This window comes from Homo sapiens, chromosome 21 (genome assembly GCF_000001405.40).
Source record: "Homo sapiens chromosome 21, GRCh38.p14 Primary Assembly".
NCBI lineage: Eukaryota > Metazoa > Chordata > Mammalia > Primates > Hominidae > Homo > Homo sapiens.
Genome location: NC_000021.9, coordinates 24,452,068 through 24,473,832, shown reverse-complemented (window position 1 = coordinate 24,473,832; position 21,765 = coordinate 24,452,068). Strand labels below are relative to the sequence as shown.

Sequence of the window (21,765 nt, the reverse complement as noted above, 5' to 3'; positions counted from 1 at the left end):
GATAGAAATGCATCATTAGACTTATTATTAATTCATCTGTTGATTATACAGTTAGCACTATCCTTCATACTTTGCAAAGAGAGTCACTGTTTTCAGCCTTCTGTAATGTCATAAACTATGTTTCCAAGTTAATGAAGAACAGTCATTTATTAAAAATATATAACTAAAAAAGTACAACATCATTATAAGATATCACTTCCTATAGTTAGAGGGTGCACATTTAATTTTTGTTCTTTCATTTCAGTGCTGCAAAAATATTTAGTCTTGAAACTTATTGTAAGTTCTGAAACTTAGAAATTAAGCATTCTTCAGCTACTTACATTAGGTTACAGCAGGTTATCTAGAAACAATCCTGGAGCAACACACGTATTTGAAAATATTTATTCCATTCCTTTTAAAGGAGTATTTTATATAAATATCCAAAGCAAATAAACTTCTTTAAGATGAAATTTAATGTTTGCATTTTATAAAAATATATATATATTTGAAATAATTACACCTGACACATGCAATATTTACATTCATTTTCTTAATCATCTGTCATTATATCAATAGAATTTGATGCCACCTAAAAGCATAAATACTAATAATGCATAAAGCAGTTATTAAATGACATATTCAAAGGCAGTGATATAATTGGAAGTGTTAACCTTCAGGGTGATTTCTGTGAGTTATCATTTAGTATAGCTACCTCATATAACTACCTTATAAAATCATCATTTGCCTGAAACAAATGAAACCAAACATTTCCCAAAATATCATGACAGAAATGTTATTGTGAAAGCTGACATTAGTTGATGTTTAGATTTTCTGGTTAATCCAGATATTGAATAAAATAAGAATTTCACATTTGAATTTAAAAGATAAAATGTTCCTTTAATGTGTTATGCATGATTGCTTAACAAGCTGATTTTTAAATCCATCTCACACCAATCAGAATGGCTATTATTAAAAAGTAAAAAACAAAAAAAACAGTTGTTAACTGACGGGAATGTATATTAGTTCAGCAACTTTGGAAAGTAGTTTGGAGATTTCTCAAAGAACTTAAAACAGAATTGACCCAGCAAACTCATTACTAAGTATCTACCCAAAGGAATATAAGTTATTCCACCAAAAAGATACATGCACTTCTATGTTCATAGCAGCACTATTTGCAACAACAAAGACTGGAATCAACCTAGATGCCCATCAATGGTGGACCAGATGAAGAAAATATGGTACATATTCACCATGGAATACTATGCATCCATTTAAAAGAAAAGAAATCATGTCTTTTGCAGCAACATGAATAGAGCTGGAGGCCACTATCCTAAGCAAATGAATACACAAACAGAAAACCAAATACTGTTTGTTCTCACTTGTAAGTTGGAGCTAAACACCGAGTACACATGGATATGAAGATAGGAACAATAGACATGGGGTCTACTTGAAGGAGGAGGGTTGGAGAAGTGGGAAGGTAGAAAAACTACCTATCACGTACTATGCTCTCTACCTGGGTGATGGGATCATTTGTACATCAACCTCCAGGGACAGACAATTTATCCAAGTAATCAATCTGCACATGTAACCCTCTAAACTTAAAATGAAAGTTAAAAAATATCCAATTTTTAGAGATAGCTAAACTGTCATTGGATCTAACAAATTACAGATGGTTAAAATCAAAATCTCTGATTTTAATATTATATAGTTGAATAATTTGGATTTAAACTCATTTTACATTGTCCTAAGCTTCTATAAGTCACCTTGATAGGTAAAGGGGAGAACAAAGGTTGATTTTCTAGGCCCCCAAACCACACTTCCTTCTCTTTTCCTGGTCAGAGGAACCTGAAGACAGAATGTTAAGAGGAATAGATTTTAAATAATAAGTGAATCAACAGCAAAACTGGAGGAAAATCGAAGATTGCTGGCTTCCTCCCTTGTACTACAAACATCTGATGTCTTTCTCAAAAAGCCTCTTAATATTCTCTTTGACTTAATTTGAGATCCCTTGAAGCCCAGTTATTTCTGTCTTAGTTGCTACTCTTTGCCCTAAATCCATCCATGACTTCACATGGCACATACAGTTTTTTCAAATTCTTTTACTTACTGATTCTCTTATCTCACTCAGAATGCAAGCTAGCTGTTATATCAGCAAATAATGTTGAGATTAATATTTTTTATTTATCGTGACAACAGGTTTACAAGAACACAGAGCTTAGAGTTTGTCCAAAAGTTTCATTTAACAATAAATAGGATTCAGCAAAAATTTACCACACAGTCTTAGATTGTGAGGTTATAATTCACCAGTAGATTCAAATACTAGCCTATTAGACCAAGTAATGATGCCAATACAATAGTATATTTTAGTATTCATTAGTCACACTTGAATTCATCAAATATTTAAAAATTGGTCCTGTGCATTAAATACACAAGACTGGAAAAGTTGATAAACTGAAAATGATTAACACTAGAAAATTGCAGAAAAGACATGAAAAGAAATAAATAAGAAGAGATATCATTCAAAATTATAGAACAGTAAAATTTAAAAAATGACATTTTTCAAGCAACAGCTTGGAAAACAATGTTCACAGTTTGCATTACAAGCTTTTTGCAATATTGGCGGAGAGGTAGGTGTAATGTGAAGTTGTTATTTGTTGCCTCGATGGCTTCCTGAGTGCCAGCACCTGCCATTCTTGCTTTGAACTATTACAGACGTATTGCCCATTTCTGGGTACCCGTCTCCAACATGTGTCTTCAAGTGCCAAGCCTCATGATGACTTCCCCATTTTATCAGTTCCTCCTTTCATGTTGACCCAGCTACATTCAAATTACTCAGATAGAGTGCCCCCCATGTGCCACAAACTACCCCTGCTATTAGCCTCAATAAAGGAACTAGCCCAGGGGTCCTTACTCCATTTTCTCTCTGCTTGCCGTGACTTTGTGTGGCCCTCTGGACTTGCCGTGCTTCCCTCCCTAGGACCTGTGAGTATAATAAATCCTTCAATTTCATATGCCTCTCGGAGTGTAATTTCTGCAGTTACACTGAAGTGATTATCTTAAAGACCCCACAAGAGAGACTAGCTCTCCCATTGACAACACAGTGGGTAAGTATAAATCCTATCCTATTTACAGGAATATGAAATAACTAATAAAAGACATAGCTGATAACATAATTGTTAAAAAATTTTTGGAGGAAAATGTGAAAGTGTTAATTTAAAAGGTTATGCACATGTTACATTTCTTTCACAAATTCCAACCTTAGGACTTTACTCTTCAGGAGGACTTAAGAAAATGTTAGGCTATAGGTATAATGTATTTACTATTGGTTACATTTGAAATAAAATAGTAGGAAATGACATTTATATTCATTAGTAGGAAACTATTTTAATATGTGGTAATTCATGCACAAGATGAAATAATTTGTAGCCATTAAAAATGAATGAAATACACCGGAATGTGATACATGGAAAGTTCCCCAATGCATATTTTAAGGTAATTAAAGCAAAATTCAAAGAAAGTATATGTGAAGCCTCTGAAGAAGGGCTGTCTGAAATTGATATCCTCATTTTGAGGGTTATGTTACACTATTTCTATATCCATTGCACAACAAAAGTTTCAAGACAGTTCTCATAGAGTTATTTCTGATTGTTTTCTAATGATACTTTATTTTCCTTCTATTCATTATAATAAATGTAAATATTTGGCTAAATTATTGTTTAGTAAATTATATATTTTCATTTATATTGGTTTTCAACTTTGGACTTTTTGGGGAATGGATCTGAATCACAGAAAACATTGTTCTTTGAAGTAGTAAATCTGTTAGTTCTCAGAGTTCTCATTTACAAATTGCGTTTTGTTCTAAAATTTGTCTATGAACATTTGTTAGATCAATAAAATAAACAATGTTTCAAATATTTATACCATCATTTTTAGCAAAATGCACCATGAATTTACATGTAAGTCACATTTTTTGATGGTCGCATTTTTTTTCCACACGTTGTCCATAAAATGTAGTTTCAGCCCCCACCGACTAGTTTGTCATTCAAGAGACTGTTTTCCAAAATTCCCACAGTTTTCATTTCCGCCAGCAACATATTAAAAATCCTTATTTTTCACATCCTCACCAATATTTGTTATTTCTGATTTCTGTCTTTTTTTTTTTAACTAGACATACTATTAGTTTGGTGCAAAAGTGATTGCGGTTTTTACCTTTGGAAGTAATGGCAAAAAGTGCAATCACTTTTGCCCCAACCTAATAGTATGTATGAAATGGTATCTATGTTTGAAATTTACATTTCCTTGATGACTAAAGATGCTTTTACTGGTAATATAAATCTCTTATTAGTAATTTATATACCTTAGTTAATAAAATGTCTACTTTTATATTTGTCCATTCTAAAATTAGTTTGGTTATTTTCTCATGGAGTTTCAAGAGTTTATTGTATATCCTAGATAACAATCCTTTGTCAGATATATGTATCTTTGTACTTCACAAACATAGTCTCCTAGCCCCTTGCTTATAGTTTTATTTTCTTAATACTGTCTTTTGAGATGGAAAAGTTTTGAATTTTGATAAAGTCCAAATTATGTTTTGTTTGTTTAACAGATCATGTTCTCAGTATCAAATTTAAGAAACTATTACCTAACCCAAATCTGAAAGATGTCTTTCCACATTTTCTCCTAAAATTTTTAATATAAGCTCTCAAATTTAAATATATCACCCATTTTGGGTTAGTTTCTGTGTGTTGTATGAGACAAGTAAGGGTTTAAGTTCATCTTTCTGCGTGCAGATAATCAAATGTCCCAGCACCATTTGTTGAAATTGACAATATGAATGCTAACATACCCTGATTTTGTGACTGTGAGCAGGTTACTCAAGTTCCTTTGTTTCTGCATTTTTTTTGTTGTTTTTTGTTTTTTTTTTTTGAGATGGAGTCTTTTTCTGTCACCCAGGCTGGGGTGCAGTGGCATGATCTCGACTCACTGCAACTTTCATCTCCCAGGTTCAAGCAATTCTCCTGGGATTACAAGTGCCCACCACCACACATGGCTAATTTTTTGTATTTTTAGTAGAGATGGGGTTTCACCATGTTGCGCAGGCCGGTCTCAAACTCCTGACCTCAAATGATCCTCCTACCTCAGCCTCCCAAAGTGCTGGGATTACAGGTGTAAGCGACCGAGCCTGGCCCTTTTTTCTTAATTAAAGGGTTGAAAAACCCCAAATATACTGTGGAAGCACATACATGTGAAAGCTCATATGAAGATTTTTACTGGGTACTGACTAAGCAACACTTGATGATATTTTGCTTTTTTAACAGAGCCCTGATAAATATAATCCATTTTTGTAATCAAAAATTAAATATCCTTCAGACATGTATACATGTTGGTAGACAGATAAAATATTTTCTCCTAGAATAAAAAGCCCACTAGTAACTATGATTAATTTGGGGAAGAAAAATTTGGAGTGAGGGCTGAGAAGAGCTTTTAATTTAATTTTATATTTTCATCTACATTTTGAATTTTTAATTAAGTTTTTTATCATCAGCACTTTTGTAGTTTATGAGCTTTTCACACATTTCTCTATTTCTTTATATGTTACTGTGTTTTTACAGTGTACCAATCAAATTTTTAAAACTATATTTAAATGTGTACCTTGTTAAAAGGTGAATCCATTGTTTCCAGACTGTTGTTAACTTAATGTATGATTTCTCATGAATTATGCTAGCTTTGATTTTAAATGGCATAATGGTAATATTAATATCAGCCTAAGTGTAAATCAGCTATTCATTTACACTTTGTGATCTGCATATAAAACACAATACTCACACATTCAATAGGCCTTCTGGATTAGAAGATACATTTTCCAAGTACAAACATAAAAATCTTGTAAATATGTATTGTTGGATGAAAAATATTATTTATTTATTTATTTTTTGAGATGGAGTCTCGCTCTGTCGCCTGGGCTGGAGTGCAGTGGTGCGATCTCGGCTCTCTGCAAGCTCCACGTCCCGGGTTTGCACCATTCTCCTACCTCAGCCTCCCGAGTAGCTGGGACTACAGGTGCCCACCACCACGCCCGGCTAATTTTTTGTATTTTAAGTAGAGACAGCGTTTCACCGTGTTAGCCAGGACGGTCTCGATTTCCTGACCTCGTGATCTGCCTGGCTCAGCCTCCCAAAGTGCTGGGATTACAGGCGTGAGCCATCGCGTCCGGCCAAATCATCAATTGCTTCGTAAGTTGAATATGAAACTGTCAGACTAGTTATTTTTGTTCAAAATCTTGGCATTTCTGCTGTCATCGAGCCAACTGAGAACAATTTAAATATAATCCAAATAGTACCATGGAGAAAGCTAATGAAAATAACAGTATACCTCCATTTTTCTAGAATTGAAAACAGTTTAATGCCTCAGCAATCAGAACATGGTATACTAATCTTAGATAAAGATGCAGTGTTGATGTGGAACTTTAAAAAATATTCAACGTCTAGACATATGGAAAGAGACTTCTTAGCAATAAATAAAACATAAAACAGGCTGTGGGTTGAATATAAGAGAATTTTTTTCGACATTCCCTGAAATACACCAGGGGGTTCTTTTTTTCATATTGTGCCTTATAATTCTTAATAGATCTGTAAGGGCCTCTGAGTGAAGGCAAAATGGGCTCTGAAGGTCCTTGTGCCTCTATCAATTAGAGAAGACCAAGGTTATAGGTTGTAAACAGTAGTGTGTTTTATAATATTGCACTTGAGATAAAGTTATGCTAGATAGAATAAAAACCTATAAAAAGACGTCTACATGCAAACAATAAATGATATAAGTCTGAACCTCATATTCAAACTCTCAACGACAACAATAATAAATGAAAAAGAAAGTTTAGGTGGGAGATTTCATTAGGGTAAAGGATGCCTACAAAATTAGAATCTTAATATTTGGAATGCCAAATTGACTCCACTTTTAAGTGTTATCACTCCCTGAGTTTTACTGTTTAGCTTGGCATGCTCTTCCTATTTCACCCAAAGGCCAGTCTCTTTCAGGAATATTTGTAGCTATGCCTGTGCCATTAGTATTACATCAGATTTATGGTCATGCTCCCGTATGCATTTGATGGTGCCTATGACCACTTTTCTTCATAAACATAACTCAGTTTCTACTTTTTTGTGCATCCTGGTAATTGGTTCATCAAATGTTTGGTGGTGGTGGTGGTTTTTTTTATGTCATGGTTATGTGTCAGTTACTTTACTAATGAAAACATGAGTGAGAGAACCAGTATTTTTATTAGTTATCTGTCTTAAAGGGGAAGACAACTGGGTGACAAGTATGTGTACAAATAATTACATCAAAAGAGTGGTAAAGCTTAATAACAATACATATGGAAAGCTGTAGGGCTATGAGTTGATTTAAAAAGATTTTAACATTTAGAATCACACTGATGTGGGAGCTATTTGATCAGTAAGCACACTCAACTTATATGTGATATACATACAAGTATGTACTTTCTACTTTCAGGGCTAGTGGAAGAGTAGATAATTACAAGAAATCTGGGGGGCATAACCAGCATTCTTTCACCTTACAAGAATTCTAAATCAGTTTAAAAATGAAGACAAAAAAACCTATACAGGTAGAACAAAAGTATCTGTTTAGTATTGTCAAACATTAAGGTGAAAGGTATAGCTTGATTAAGAGACAAAAACACTTTGCTGATGCTTTAATCCTGGAACACCTTGGGACATCCTACTGCAGGGAAAGTTGGAGCTCTTATTCTTTCACATCATCAGGCTGCAAATTTTCCAAACTTTTCAAGTTTGCTTCCCTTTTAAACATAAGTTCCAATTTCAAATCATCTCTCTCAAGTTCAGTGTTACACAGATCTCTAGGGCAGGGGCAAAATGCCAAGAGTCTCTTTGCTAAAGCACAGCAAAAGTGACCTTTACTCCAGTTACCAACAAGTTCGTCTTCTCCATCTGAGATCACCTCAGCCTGGACTTCATTGTCCATATTAATATCAGCATTTTGGTCAAAACCATTCAAGACATCGCTAGGAAGTTTCAAACTTTCCCACATCTCCCTATGTCCTCTGTGCCTTCCAAACGGTTCAATCTCTCCCTGTTACCCAGTTCCAAAGTCACTTCCACATTTTTTGGTATCTTTATAGCAACACCCCACTCTCTGCAGTGCCAATTGACTATATTAGTTTATTCTCATACTGCTATAAAGATACTATCTGAGACTGGGTAACTATAAATAATAGAGGTTTAATTGACTCAGTTCCATATGGCTGGGAGGCCTCAGGAAACTTACAATCATGGCAGAAGAGGAAGTAGGCACACCTTACCTAGCAGGAGGTGTGAGAGTGTGTGAAGAGCGAAGGGGGAAGAGCCCCTTATAAAACCATCAGATCTTGTGAGAACTCACTCACTATCATGAGAACAGCATGGGAGAAATTGCCCCATATTCCACTCACCTCCCTCCCTCAACACATGGGGATTACAATTCAAGACGAGATTTCTGTGAGAACACAGAGACAAACCATATCATCTGTAGTCATAAGACTCTTCATTTGGCGGGGCTCGATGGCTTATGCCTGTAATCCCAGCACCTTGGGAGGCCAAGGTGGGCGGATCACCTGAGGCCAGGAGTTCGAGATTAGCCAGCCTGAGATGGTGAAACCCCGTCTCTACTAAAAACACAAAAATTAGCTGAGCATGGTGGCGGGCACCTGTAATCCCAGCTACTCTGGAGGCTGAGGCAGCAGAATCGCTTGAACCCAGGAGGCAGAGGTTGCAGTGAGCCAAGATCACGCCACTGCACTCCAGCCTGGGTGGCAGAGCGAGATTCTGTCTCAAAAAAGAATCTTCATTTATTCTCTATCACAAAAATTAGCATTGCTAAAAATTATTAAAGAATACATTACTTTCCTCTCTCACTGTCACCTTGTCATCTTACACCCAGCACTGTGCTAAGGTCATGAAAGCACTCTGCTTCCGGAATAGATGTATACATACAAACTCATATACACAGAGTTTGGTTACTTCCTCAGATTTTATATTTGATTAATAAGTTATACACCTCCATTGCTGTTTCTTTATTTCCAATATACGACTATCTGTGTCTTTGTAGAATTAGGCAATGTTTAATGAATTACAGGCTTGGGATTTTGAATAAAAAGTATTTGTTTCAGTATGGTTTACTACATGCTCATAGATACATGTTTACTTTTGAAATATAACCTGAAATTTCCCTGTTTTTCCAAACTCATACAACCTTATCCTTGCTAGGCAACGTTTGCTAGGCTTTTCCGATTGTCAGACAAAATTCTAAAATGTTCAGCTTTACTTCAGTAATTATGACTTTATTTAAACCACACAGGAAGAGCAATAAAAAGACTATAAAACATCAACAAAAACCCTGCATCCTTATACCACACAGGAAGAGCAATAAAAAGACTATAAAACATCAACAAAAACCCTGCATCCTTATATCACACAGAATAAGTTATCATGCAGAAACCAGAATAACCTTCAGGATATAACACAAACTGCATCTTGCTCTCTTCACAAAAGACACCAATTCAATTTTCTCCCTTCCAGTATTTCTCCTTTGTAGCTATTTCTTCTTAGCCTCCAACAAACTAAAGCTATTCTTTCCTATGTATTATGGCTCAGTCATTTTACTTTATCTTTGTGTTTCTGTAGAATACTATGCCATTTACTATTCTCTTTCAGTGAATGACCACAAAGAGGACCCAGTTACAGAGCTATCTGGAATCAGACCCTCTCTTAGGGATTTAATAGCTACCCAATAGCTGACTTAGAATTAGGTATCTATCTTTATTTGTTGTTGACAGCAACATGCTTTTACAATTACAAATATGGTACTCCGAGTATGTATTTATAGTAATATTTATATGTGTATTTATTTTTGAATATATATGTATACTTATACATATTTTTATATTTGAATATATATATTTAAAATATATATGACAACCTTTGAACATGGTAACACTTCCCAACAGTTGCATCACAAGGTGGATGAATATTATAGGATTGGCGACAAGTTGGAAAACTATAGCATTATGTTTATTCATTATCTTATCGGAATGAACCAAGTGTTACTTTCCTAGTTTACAATAATATTACAAATATTTCAGTTTGACCTGATCGTTCTTCTGAATGAGGAAAGTTTATGTGTGTGGGTGCATATATGTAAATGTGATGTTGGCTGTATGCATAACCTCACGTTTCATTTGTTAAATGACAAATAAACTTTTCATAATAAAGAAAATGTAAGGCCACATTAAATCAAAATACTTAAGAAGTCTAATTTTAACACAGATATTTGACAGGTCATTGTTTCATGTCACCATTCTGTGATCGTCCTCAAATAATTTGAGGGTATTTACAGAGAATAAATATAAAAAAAATAGAAATCATTCTCAATATCAAAAGAGAAACAGAAATATGATGGCATATATCATGAGTTTCTGACTCCCTTACTGAATTTAATATAGGAATTACAAAAAAGAAAAAGGAGAAGTTGACAGACCCCAGACTCTCATAAAAGCATTAAGATACCTCAAGGATACAGAAGGTGCTCGGCCATTGCTGGGTATATGGACTAAAGAGGAAAGGACACTGAGAGCTAAAGTTTGTGAGCTCCAAGGATCAGAGAGTCTTTGCAGGAGATTTACGTTCGTTCATTTTCACTTTTATCACATTTCCTGTTTTATTTTATTTCACTAAGTTTAATTTTAGGATTTTTCTTTGAGAATGCTTATACATGGAAATGATTTAAAAACGCGAACTATAAAATATTTACAACTGAAGTAATTTGAGGGTTTACACAAACAATGCAGCCATCTGTTTGCATCATTCTCATAGCTCATGTTCTCACTTCCTTTAAGTCTATTTCAGTGTTGAAACACCTTAGATAAAACAGCATCCACCACCGTTTCTCTGTCCTCTTTATATTGCATTATTCTTTTTCATAAGTGCATCTCTTACTTTAAATACCAGTATTGATTGCATGTTAGCATCTATCTCTCTACGTTGGAAGGTATGTTTAGGGATACCAATATGTCAAGATCAGTGAAGGGTCTGAAAACTTACTTTATCTGTAAGCTTGTGAGTTAGTGTGTCACAGCTTTATAGATGCTGGCAGAAGACACGGCCTCCTGGTTTAGAGCCAAAGGCATTTTTTTTCCCTCACAGCACAGTAGGTAGCATACATTTGCAACTACTCCCCTTTCCCTGAGGACCATGAGGCTGATGTGAAGTAGTACAGGATGATACAGAAAACACAATGAATTTATGTCACAGCTGAGGAACCTTAGCTTTGGAAGCCCATAGCCTTATAAGTGTGTTGCTGAAAACCGGCTCAAATTTTTCCCTGAACAGGAGTATCATCTTTATAATCCTGGTCAGGAAACAAATCTGCCCTCCTGAAAGACACGAGTAAGGAAAATTTTACTTACATCTCTCAAAAGTGTTTGATATACAAAATATTCTTAAAAAGACAATCTGGAATAAAGTTGTTAATGTCCCTTGCTCAGAAAACAGGCAGTAGTGCGAGAGACCCATGGAAAATTTACACTCCCTCTCCAAAATTTTTCCCTTATTTCCCCACTGTTTTGGCTTCTGGAAAGTTTTCTCATGAATACACCATTTCATCAGCTAATTTGACTGATGTGTAATGGGACAACTTTGTTAACTTTGATTCATGCATCGTTTAACTGAGGGCACTATCAACGTACTGCAAATAGTAGAATGATGCAAACCTTCAGTGATAACTTAGTCATGCCCAGACCTCATCGGCTCCAGTTGCCCAGCTTAACTAATCCAATAAACTGTCAGAACCTACCTTAGAAAGTTGGGTGTCTTTCTTTTAAGCTTCCATATTCCACTTGTCAAAATGCAAATGTTATTTTTTTCACATGCAAAATGGTACAGTCATTTTTGTTTTGTTTTGATTTTAATTTAAACCTTCAATTACCGAATGACTAAGTATTTCTACTCTATGTGTACACTCAAGAGAAATAAAATTGTATGTCCACACACACTTGTAAATTAATACTCATAGAAACTTTATTCATGAGAGTCCCAAAAGGAATAAGCTAAAATGTCAAAATGATAAATGGATAGGCAAACCTTGGTGTTTGCATGCAATGAAATACTGCCCGGCAAATAAAAAATAAGCAAGATACTGATACAGCAACCTTGAAACCTCTAAAAATAAACTAATGATAAGTAAAAGAAACAAGCCTCAAAAAGGACATACGGTATGATTCCATTTATATGAAATTGTTTAAGAGGCATAACTATAGTGTCAGAAATCTAGTCATTGCCAGTGGCCAAGGATCAGAGGACAAATTGAAAGCAAAACAACATGAAAGAACATCTGGGGGAGACAGAAAGTTTTCTAAAGCTATATAGTGGTAGTGGTTACATTTCTTATAGTTTTACCAAAACTCGTCCAACTGGATACATAACATGAGTGGATTTTCTTGTATGTAAATTATACTACAACAAAGCTAAAGAAAATAACCTTAGATGAAGGCACATACATTGAATTATGTTGAAACATAACTATGAAATTGATGATAGTAGTTGCCTTGAGGAGAGAAATGGATAGACATTAGGGCTGGTTTCTTCTCTGTGCAACTGACAAAGTAAGTAGGGCTTGGTGGTGGCTTGAGTACCATTAGTTACAGTCTCAACTCCATGAATATACATACGATGATATAGAATCTAAGTAAAATAGTGTGCTTACTCAGTCTATAACTACTTCCATAAAATTCCTTAGGTCTTTATTTATTCATTCATGCTTGCAATAAATACATTTATTAAGACCCTATTGTGCATCTAGTGGTCTTATATTTCTCATATACATATTCCTTCATCTGCATCTTGAATTTGAATTAGATCTCTCTAATAAATATGACATTATCATATTTTTTACTTCAAATTTTCTTTAAGATTAATTTTATTTGATTTCATTGAGATTTTCTACCTGTTCACTTATTTTAAGCATATATTATTTTAATTCTGTTAATTAATATATTTAGGAAATTGATGAAGCATTTGTTTGCTAAGTCTGATATCTCAGTCTAACTGAAGTCATTTTATGTTGAATGCTTTTTTCAGAACAAGAATCACATTTTCTTATTGTTTTGCATAGTTAGTAATTCTTTTTTTGAAGACTGGGCGTTTTGAAAATACATTTTAGTGACTATACATTTTGTGTTGTTCTTTGAAGGTAAATGGATTTTAATTTTTCAATGCACTTAAAATGCCCAGACTCAAATTTTCAAACCTGCATCCCCTACTGTGTACAATTGTTGGTCAATGTCTCCATAGAGATATATCCTGCACTTGTGTGGTTTAAAGGCCAGAAAATGATTTCCAAAGGCTGTGCTTAGACTCTTCAAGCCAATTAGGCTTTCTGCCATTTCAGATGTATGTGGATTAAAGAATGCTCTCACAGGCACAGCAAGTTTTCAAGTCTCCCAGGCTTTAAATCTTCACGAGGATTCTGGCTTCTTCATGTTTATGTAGTTAAAGTAGTTTATCAGTCATCCCAGAATTTGTAGAATGCTTATTATCTTAGTCCTTCTACAGTTCTCTCATTTTAAATATTTCCTAGTTAGTTTTAATTTCCTCTTCCATATTCTCAGTCAAAAAGTTCATATACTTACCATTCTTACCTCAAAAAGTAGCTGTTTTTTATGAATCACTTTGGGAGTTTTCAAATTTGTTGAAATTGTTATTTTTAAATTTTATTTTATTTTTATAAATAATTGTTTTTACTTTATATGTGTTATTCTGGACTGAAATTAATTAGTTTCCCAAACTGTCATTATTGAAGGTAGTCTTGAATGTGTTTCTGTAAGCTACCTTTGTTAGAACAATTATTTGTATCCCATATTATGTTCTTCTGCTTTTAGTTTCCCAAAATCATTTTTTAGTGATTACTAACATCATGCAACCAGATTAATTTGAAAATATATTTAGCATACATAGCAAGAAAATTTTGTAAGAGTTTTATATTTATATCATAGGCTGACATGACAAGTATGGTCTAACTGTGCAATGTTTCGCAGGATTAGCCTTAGTAGCTTTTACCTTCTCTGTGTAGACCGTTTTTTCTTAAGAAGTAATAAGTAAGACTTTCTATATGACATTTGCTCCTGATTAAACCATTTAATTTATTTCAGATAATATGCCCCTTACATGATACTAAAATATCAAATAAGATTACTGATCGTTTTCACTGACATCCAAGTTTTCAAATGTATCCAATATTAAATTATTTCATTTTAGATATTTATTGAACTATTATCTTAATAGGATACAAAAAGCTATTGCAATGTGTACTGTCAACTAAAAATCTTATTTAATTATTCAGGAAAAAATAATATGTGTTCCTTTTTATTACTCATAGATTTATTGTTACCGAGAATAATTAATGGCTTATTGTGATGCTGGAACTAAAGCCAGGCCAAAGTTAACTAAAAGAGATAAAGAGTTTTAAAATGACACTGCAACAGCTATTTATTATCACATTTTTTTGAAAATCAAAAATAATTTTACACAGTGCCGTAATACCTCAAAACTTGATCAGTTTTTCTGAAGACATCCATTACATCTTAATTCAAAGTTCGAATTAATTTTAAAAGCATAATTTTAATAAATTTAATTAAACGTATTTTAGAATACACTTTTAATAACTAAAGTGAAATATATTGAGTAAAATGAAGTTTAATTTTATGGATATTAGTAAACTTTGACACTAATAATATATTTTATAGATGCCTAATTATTCTGTCCGTTAATGATGACATTCTTTTTGCAAAGCTGGTTTATGCCAATGCCTCGCTAATATAAAGCTATCATACTCAGTTTTTTGTTATGTGGTAGCATTTATAACATGGAATAGATTTAGTTATCAACCCAGCAGGTATATTTTAAGTCAACCTGAATGCCTAATTAAAAATTCCTCTACTGGACAGCTGCAGGTATTGATTGATTTACAGAGAAGACCGATTTACAGAGAATCAACTTTCAGTACTCAATATTAATTATATTTCATATTTTATTACTTAAAATTTGAACACTTATTTCTGAAATGTCACTATTGTCACAACATTGTAGGTGAAGAACATAAGTATTAAAATTTTCATTTATAAAATTTGACATGATCATACATAAGTTGTTCCCCCTATATCTTTTAAACAGCCTTATTTTAATAATTTATATTGTAATTCAAGAGCTGGTTGTTTTATGTGTTAATATACCTTAATTGTTCTTTGGAACTTTATCATCCAAAACTTACTGATATTACAAACTGTCTTCAAGATACTTGTGCAATAAAATTTCTTATTACTCAAAACTTTTATAGTGATTAATAAAATCTATCACTTTTTTGATCCTCATGTCCAGTAATTTTCTGCATCAGGAGACACTGATAAGCTATCACGTGGGAGGGGGATCATAACACCAGACCAATATCTCATTTGAAAGGTTGATTCTGCTTCATGTCTATTCTTTTAATTTTTTCAGGGGAATGTTTTCTTTATTATTTTTTTTTTGTCTTTGTTTCTGTCTGTTTCTCAATGTGCGTTTCTCACTTAATTTAAAGAATCTTGAGCCTAGACAGTGAGTGCTTATGTCAATTTTTTATTGGGTATCTTGTGTTTATTTGGATCTTTATTGGGAGATACCTCATTCCACTCAGAATTCTTTAACAATAGGTTTGAGAGGCAGAATATTTTCTTTTAACCCTTGCCTCAAATTATAATAATAATTACTCTTTATTGCTCAATGACCTCAGTTTCGACATAACCTTTAGGGTTGAGAAGCGGGTTTCCTTTACAATCCTGAAAGTTCTTAAATTCCTGGACTCCCTTTATTTCTTTTCACTGTTGCTCAAAAAATAGTCAGTTCTTTCCTATGTTCATGTACTTATTGTACTTTGCCAAATAGAGCTATCTTTTTCTTTTCTAACTACTTCCGGTAAGGCTATGTACGTTCGTTATGCTGTTTTCCAAGTTACTGCAGGTCAAAATGTCCCCTAATATTTCATTGGCACTTACATGGTTCTTCCAAACTCTGAAACAGCATCATTGCTGCTATTCAGCAAACTACCAAGCCAATACCAAATATTTTTATTTTATGTTAGTTCATGACTCACTTTTGAGTGTCAAATCAACTGGACTATGGTACAGAACAAAGAAATGTTTTATTTCAGACTATGCTATAGTAACAAAAAAGTTTTATTTCTCATTGATTCTACTGGTTCATTGGGAGTTGGCTGGAACTGTGCAGTGTCCTCTCATTCTGGAATTAAATATGGCAGACCTTGCTCCGTCTGGAACACAATTCATCACGACAGTAAAGGGAGAAGGTGGCAATGTGTGCTGTTTCCTAATTCTCTCTAGAAGTGTAATATTACTTTTATTAACCTTTGTTTGGCCCAACCAAGATTAATAACAATGTCTACTTTGAGAGTAGATTCAGAAGAGCATTATTAACATTTTAACATTTTTTTAAAGGAGAGGTAAAGTAAAATATTTGTGAATGGCCCAACTTTATACAATATAAGTTTTTAAAATAATAAACACTATCTTTGCTGAAATTATGTTTTCTTCTGCTAGCATCTCCTCCTTTAAAATCCTCTGCAAATAAGTTAGTCCTCAAAGAGTAAGTCCTTAGGTTTCAGAGTGTGACCTATCTGTGGGTAAGTAAATCAACCATATAGCTTGCAATGTTGCTTAATTTTTAATTAATGTATATTAGAAGAAAATTGAATGGGATTGAAAACATCAGATATCACTGTATTTAGTATTGCTTTGTAAAACCTTGTTTAAATGCATATGTGGGTGTGTTTGTGTGTACATGTATATAAATGTATTCTTTATATTATATATAAATGTATTATATGTAATATAAATATATTATGTATAATATATATTAATGTATTATATAACTATATATAAATGTATTACATACATTGACTCCCCAAGCCAGGGCTATACCCTCTTTGGGACTTTGTGGTCCCTGGCTTCTCCAAGCTTCGCTACATTTCCCAGTGCCAGTCATGGAAGCTGCTTGTGGGACACCTGGTCCAGCTGCAACTTCACAGTTAGCCAGTGCCCATGCCAGAGTCCGATGCTACCCACCCTGCCACACCCAGCATGCCTGGCTGTGTGCAGTGATCAGAATCCATGCTTGCTTACACACCCCTTGCCACTTTGCACTTGGCTTGCCTTTGGCAGGCATGGGATCCAGGCCAGTAGCACAAGCTGAGCACAGCGTGCCATGCTGAGTGGGCAGAACAAGCCCAACAGCCGAGCAAAACTCAAGCAATGGTGCCACTGACCACAGAGGTTTCTGGCTGGTGAAGCAATACCCCAAGATTCCTGTGACACAGACATGAATGTTTTGTTAAAATGCCATTCCAGAAAATTCAGGAATGCAGTTACTGGTAATTGTGGCTATTCTAAAATGAAGTCAACAATAGAAGAAAAAATTAAGGAGAGGCCAGCATTTGTGTATAAAGAGAATGTAACCATTCTAACCTGAGGGATTAAAGCAAGAGGCTCCCAATTATATTAATCAGAATATCAGGAATATTTAGAATAATAAAGATCCAGACAATACTTCACACAGGTTTACAACATTATATGATTTAGTAGTGAGATATTTTATGTTGAATTTGTCACCTTAATCAGGTTTAGTGGTAAACTCATAATTATGTATGCATCGTATTTATTCTACTTGTTAACTCATGAGCAAATGCTACTTATGACCAGATACTGTCTTCCAAAAGGTGACTGTTGCATTGGAGTAACTGACATATTTTGCAACAACCAAACATTACACAGTAGCATAATTTTTAAGTAAACTTACCATAGGAAGAGTCTACACTTGCTTTTAAAAAAATGTGCACTAAATTGCTCTAGTGCCTTTTGAATTCCTCTTATCAATAAACATTATTAATGACAGTATGTGATAAAATAATATTTTAAGTCACTAACTGTATAAAATATGTCATGTAAAATTGGCAAATGAGTCTTTTCTGTAGGTAAAGATTAAGGTTGCTATTCTGATTAAGTGAAAACATATAATTATGTCTTTAATTAAATTCACCATGGTGTGACTCTTCTGATTACATGACAGTTAGACCAAGTGGGTTTCATTTAAAATAATGATCTAGTGTAAAACTGGAATTCTAGTCATCTGCTTGAAGAATGAGGTAAGAAACATTCCTGATGGTTATAATTCCACATATTCACAACACAAGGGCATTTAGTAACCTAAAAATGAGACAATCCATTTTACAGCCTGAGTATAAATAAAAATTCCAGGATTGACTGTCTTTCTATTAGTTCAAAATTAAGTCAAATATAAATAAATGTATCCAAATCTTATGTTTTACCCTAATTAATTCAAATGATCTAGAAAATAAGTCAGGCAAAAGATCTGTCAGTATGCTCTAGTTCTGACTTCATTTGTATCAAGTTTTTTAATACCACACTAATGTTAGGTCAATTTTGTAATAAAACAAGCAATACTCTTAAACCCTTTTCCAAATATAGAATAACTCCTCTGCAGGCTTCTCTGGAGTTAATATAAAAAGAATGAGTTTGAGCCATTTAATTAATTATGAGAGGTCATGTGCTCATAGGCAAAGTAATTTAACATCTGATGTATTCATTAAATTTACCAAGCAGAAATTTAATTTTTTATAATTATTACTAGAATTTATTTTTAAATACAAAATGGAAGCAATCAATAAAATTGCATTTAGAGGGCATCTATTACAGACAAACTACCTAGAATAGTGGAGTAATTTTTTGTTGCATCCCGGAGTTTTGTAATTACTTGTTTGCCAGTTTTCAATCAAATGTTTCCTAAAGGTAAAGAGCTATAACAATTTATTACACAAGTGCTTTAAGAGTGCTAAAAATGTCTAGCAAATTTAAAAAATGGGGTAACAGCAACGGAAAGCTTAAAATCAGAATTTGCTTGAAATGTGTTCTATGAAAAACAAAAGTGAATGTTTGAGGAGAATAAATCATGCATGCTATTTTTACTGAGTGAAAATAGATTTAGAAAGTTTCTTATGGACAACTGCCAAACTATTGTCTTATGTAAGTCTCCTGGATAAAATAGTTCTGTCTGATTCAACATGCTTTTTCTTAATATCTGAATTTAGACATATTAGATATATTTGTCTCAATTTAGCTTATTTGAAATTGGAATCATAATGTAGAAAAAATTGGTTTTGAAAATGTAATAGAATGTAAGAGAATAAGCGTAATTCTAATATTTAGGTCAAAGCTAATGAACTGTAACAATAGTGGGTTAGGCAGGGATTTAATTGACTCAAATTTACAAATCAGCAGACACACTGTGATTAGAAGTGTAGTGTTCAGAAACAATAGAGCTCTACTCCTCAGATCACACCTTACCTAGTCTGTTTATTTTTAAGATCAATTTTCAGTGAGGGATATTGACAAACTGAAGGATAACCAAAAGGGTTACACATTTGAAAATTAATGTGTTGTATAGTGGAATTAATTATCCTTCAGTGTGGGAAACTGCAAACCATAATAAGTTAAATACATATTTTCATTTAAAAGATTGTCTCATGAGGAGGAATGCATCCCACATCATACAGTTCAAAGATCAAAACCAGGACTAAAGGAAAGATGTCATGGAAGTTTCTTGATCATATCAGCACTTTTGCAATGATGAAAGCTATTATCACACTGTGATAAAATGAGTTCCCATAATGGTGAATGCTAAATTAAAGTGTTGATGACCCTATGACCTTTCAAGCAGCAGCTATTACTTCTAATTTTCGTATAGGATTGTGCTGAATGACCTCTATTATCTATTTATAATTTAAGACTGTAATTAATTTCATGTACTATGCTACATTATTCTAGTTGGTGGAAGCATATTTGTACACAGCTTCCTGTTGATGTCCCACTAGGGTGTTTGTAGAATATATTATGAAATATCCTATATAGAATATATCATGCAATAAAATGCATAGGTTAGTGTACAGCTCAATAATTTGTAGTGCAAGCTCAATGACAAATATGTTTGTTTCTGTACTCACCATTTCAGCAAAGATACAGACCATTATCATCACCTTAGGAAGATCCTGTTTTTCCTTTTAGGAAATCTCTTTCATGTCCTATCTAAAGCAAACATTGATCTGATCTTCACTATCATAATTGTGCCTGTTCTAGAGCTTCTTATAAGTGAAATTGTACAATATTTTCTGTTTGGCTTCTTTCATTCAACATAAACTGAGATTCTTCCATATTGTTGCATTATTGGCAATGACTATTTGCAACATTTATTTTTGTTGTTGTTGAGTAATATTCCATTGCATGGCTATACTATCACTTGGGCTGTTTACAGTATTAGATTTTTTAAAAATCAGAGCTCTATGAACATTAGTATAAATTCTTCCTGTGCTTATATACTCTCATTTATCTTTGGTGAATAACTGTAAGTTAAACTTCTTTGTGAAAGAATGAATGTGTGTTTAGCTTGATAAGAAATTGTCATATAGACTGTAAAATGGATATACCATTATATGGTCTTTTCAGTATAATGGATTCCGGTTGTTTCATGTCCTCAGCAACATTTGGTGTTGTCGTTCTTTCAAATTTAAGCCATGCTAGTGCACTGAATAATAGTAGTATCTTGTTGTTCTTAATTTGCATTCCCTTCATGACTAATGATATATTGAGTATTGTTTTACCCACTGGTTTTCCATTTACATAACTTTTGTTGTGAATTGCCTGTTCCAGTCTTTTTGTGTATTATTTAATTTTAATATCTTCTCATTATTGAGTTGTTGGAGTGTTTTTTGTACTCTATTTAAAGCTTTTTAGTTATGAATATGTTTTTTTTTTGGTTAATTTATGTATTGGTGCCATTTCTTTTTCTACAAAAAAAATATTGTAATGAATAGATATTTTTAACTTGGATGTAACCCATTTGTCCTCTATTTCATATGTAGCGCTTTCATGTCCTGGCCAAGAAATATTTACCTCCCCTAGGTTTGCAAATATTTTGTACTTTTAAAATATTTCTTTCTATGATTGATTTGCAAGTTAATTTTTGTATAAAGTGAGGTTGTGATCAAGGTATTTTGGTATTATTGTTATTTTATTTTTTAAAAATACAGATTATAGGTTATCCTAGCACTAACCAACAAGCTAAGGGTCATTTTATTCTGTAACCTATTTGATTAATGCTTTCTTTTCAGGAGAAAATAAAACATTATTTGTATTCCTGTGGGGTTGATTCCAATACATGTTTATTTTCACCCCCAGAAATATTAAAATTATATTTCTTATCACGACAACCTGAGGTTTAGATTTTTATTTAAAATATTGTAATTCATTATGTTTATGATATAATGTTCATTTCTCCCTGGACTCATCGTTTGACAACTGGGGGTTAACTAATAAATAGCTGGTTAAAATACTGGGACAGCAAAATGGTGAAATTATTAGGAATTACCTGGGTCAGAGATACTAGAGCTCTTACACACACACACACACACACATACACATACAAGTTATTCTCTGCAAGCTCCAAATCCAAAAAGGTGCACAAGACTAATAGGATTTTTGGTTTCTAGAGAAATTTCATACTATATTGAGGAACATACTAACCTATTATTCAAACTATTTTTTTCTTTGTTTTGTGTTTACCAATTTATTTTTATGAAAGTTAATTTGCATGGGACTCTGAGCAA

General features: G+C 33.3%; 1 long non-coding RNA gene across 2 annotated transcripts in view, besides 1 other annotated feature; it reads right to left on the bottom strand.

The window, feature by feature from the left end:
• Window positions 1-21,765, bottom strand: part of LINC01684 (long intergenic non-protein coding RNA 1684) — a 119,203-nt gene that overhangs the window by 74,110 nt on the left and 23,328 nt on the right. The window lies entirely within an intron of this gene.
• Window positions 10,951-11,151: a silencer, noted in NCBI's record as "peak4389 fragment used in MPRA reporter construct". NCBI's record gives its function as "represses an SCP1 promoter by STARR-seq MPRAs in K562 erythroleukemia cells {active_cell/tissue: K562}" and the evidence as "EXISTENCE:reporter gene assay evidence [ECO:0000049][PMID:32103011]".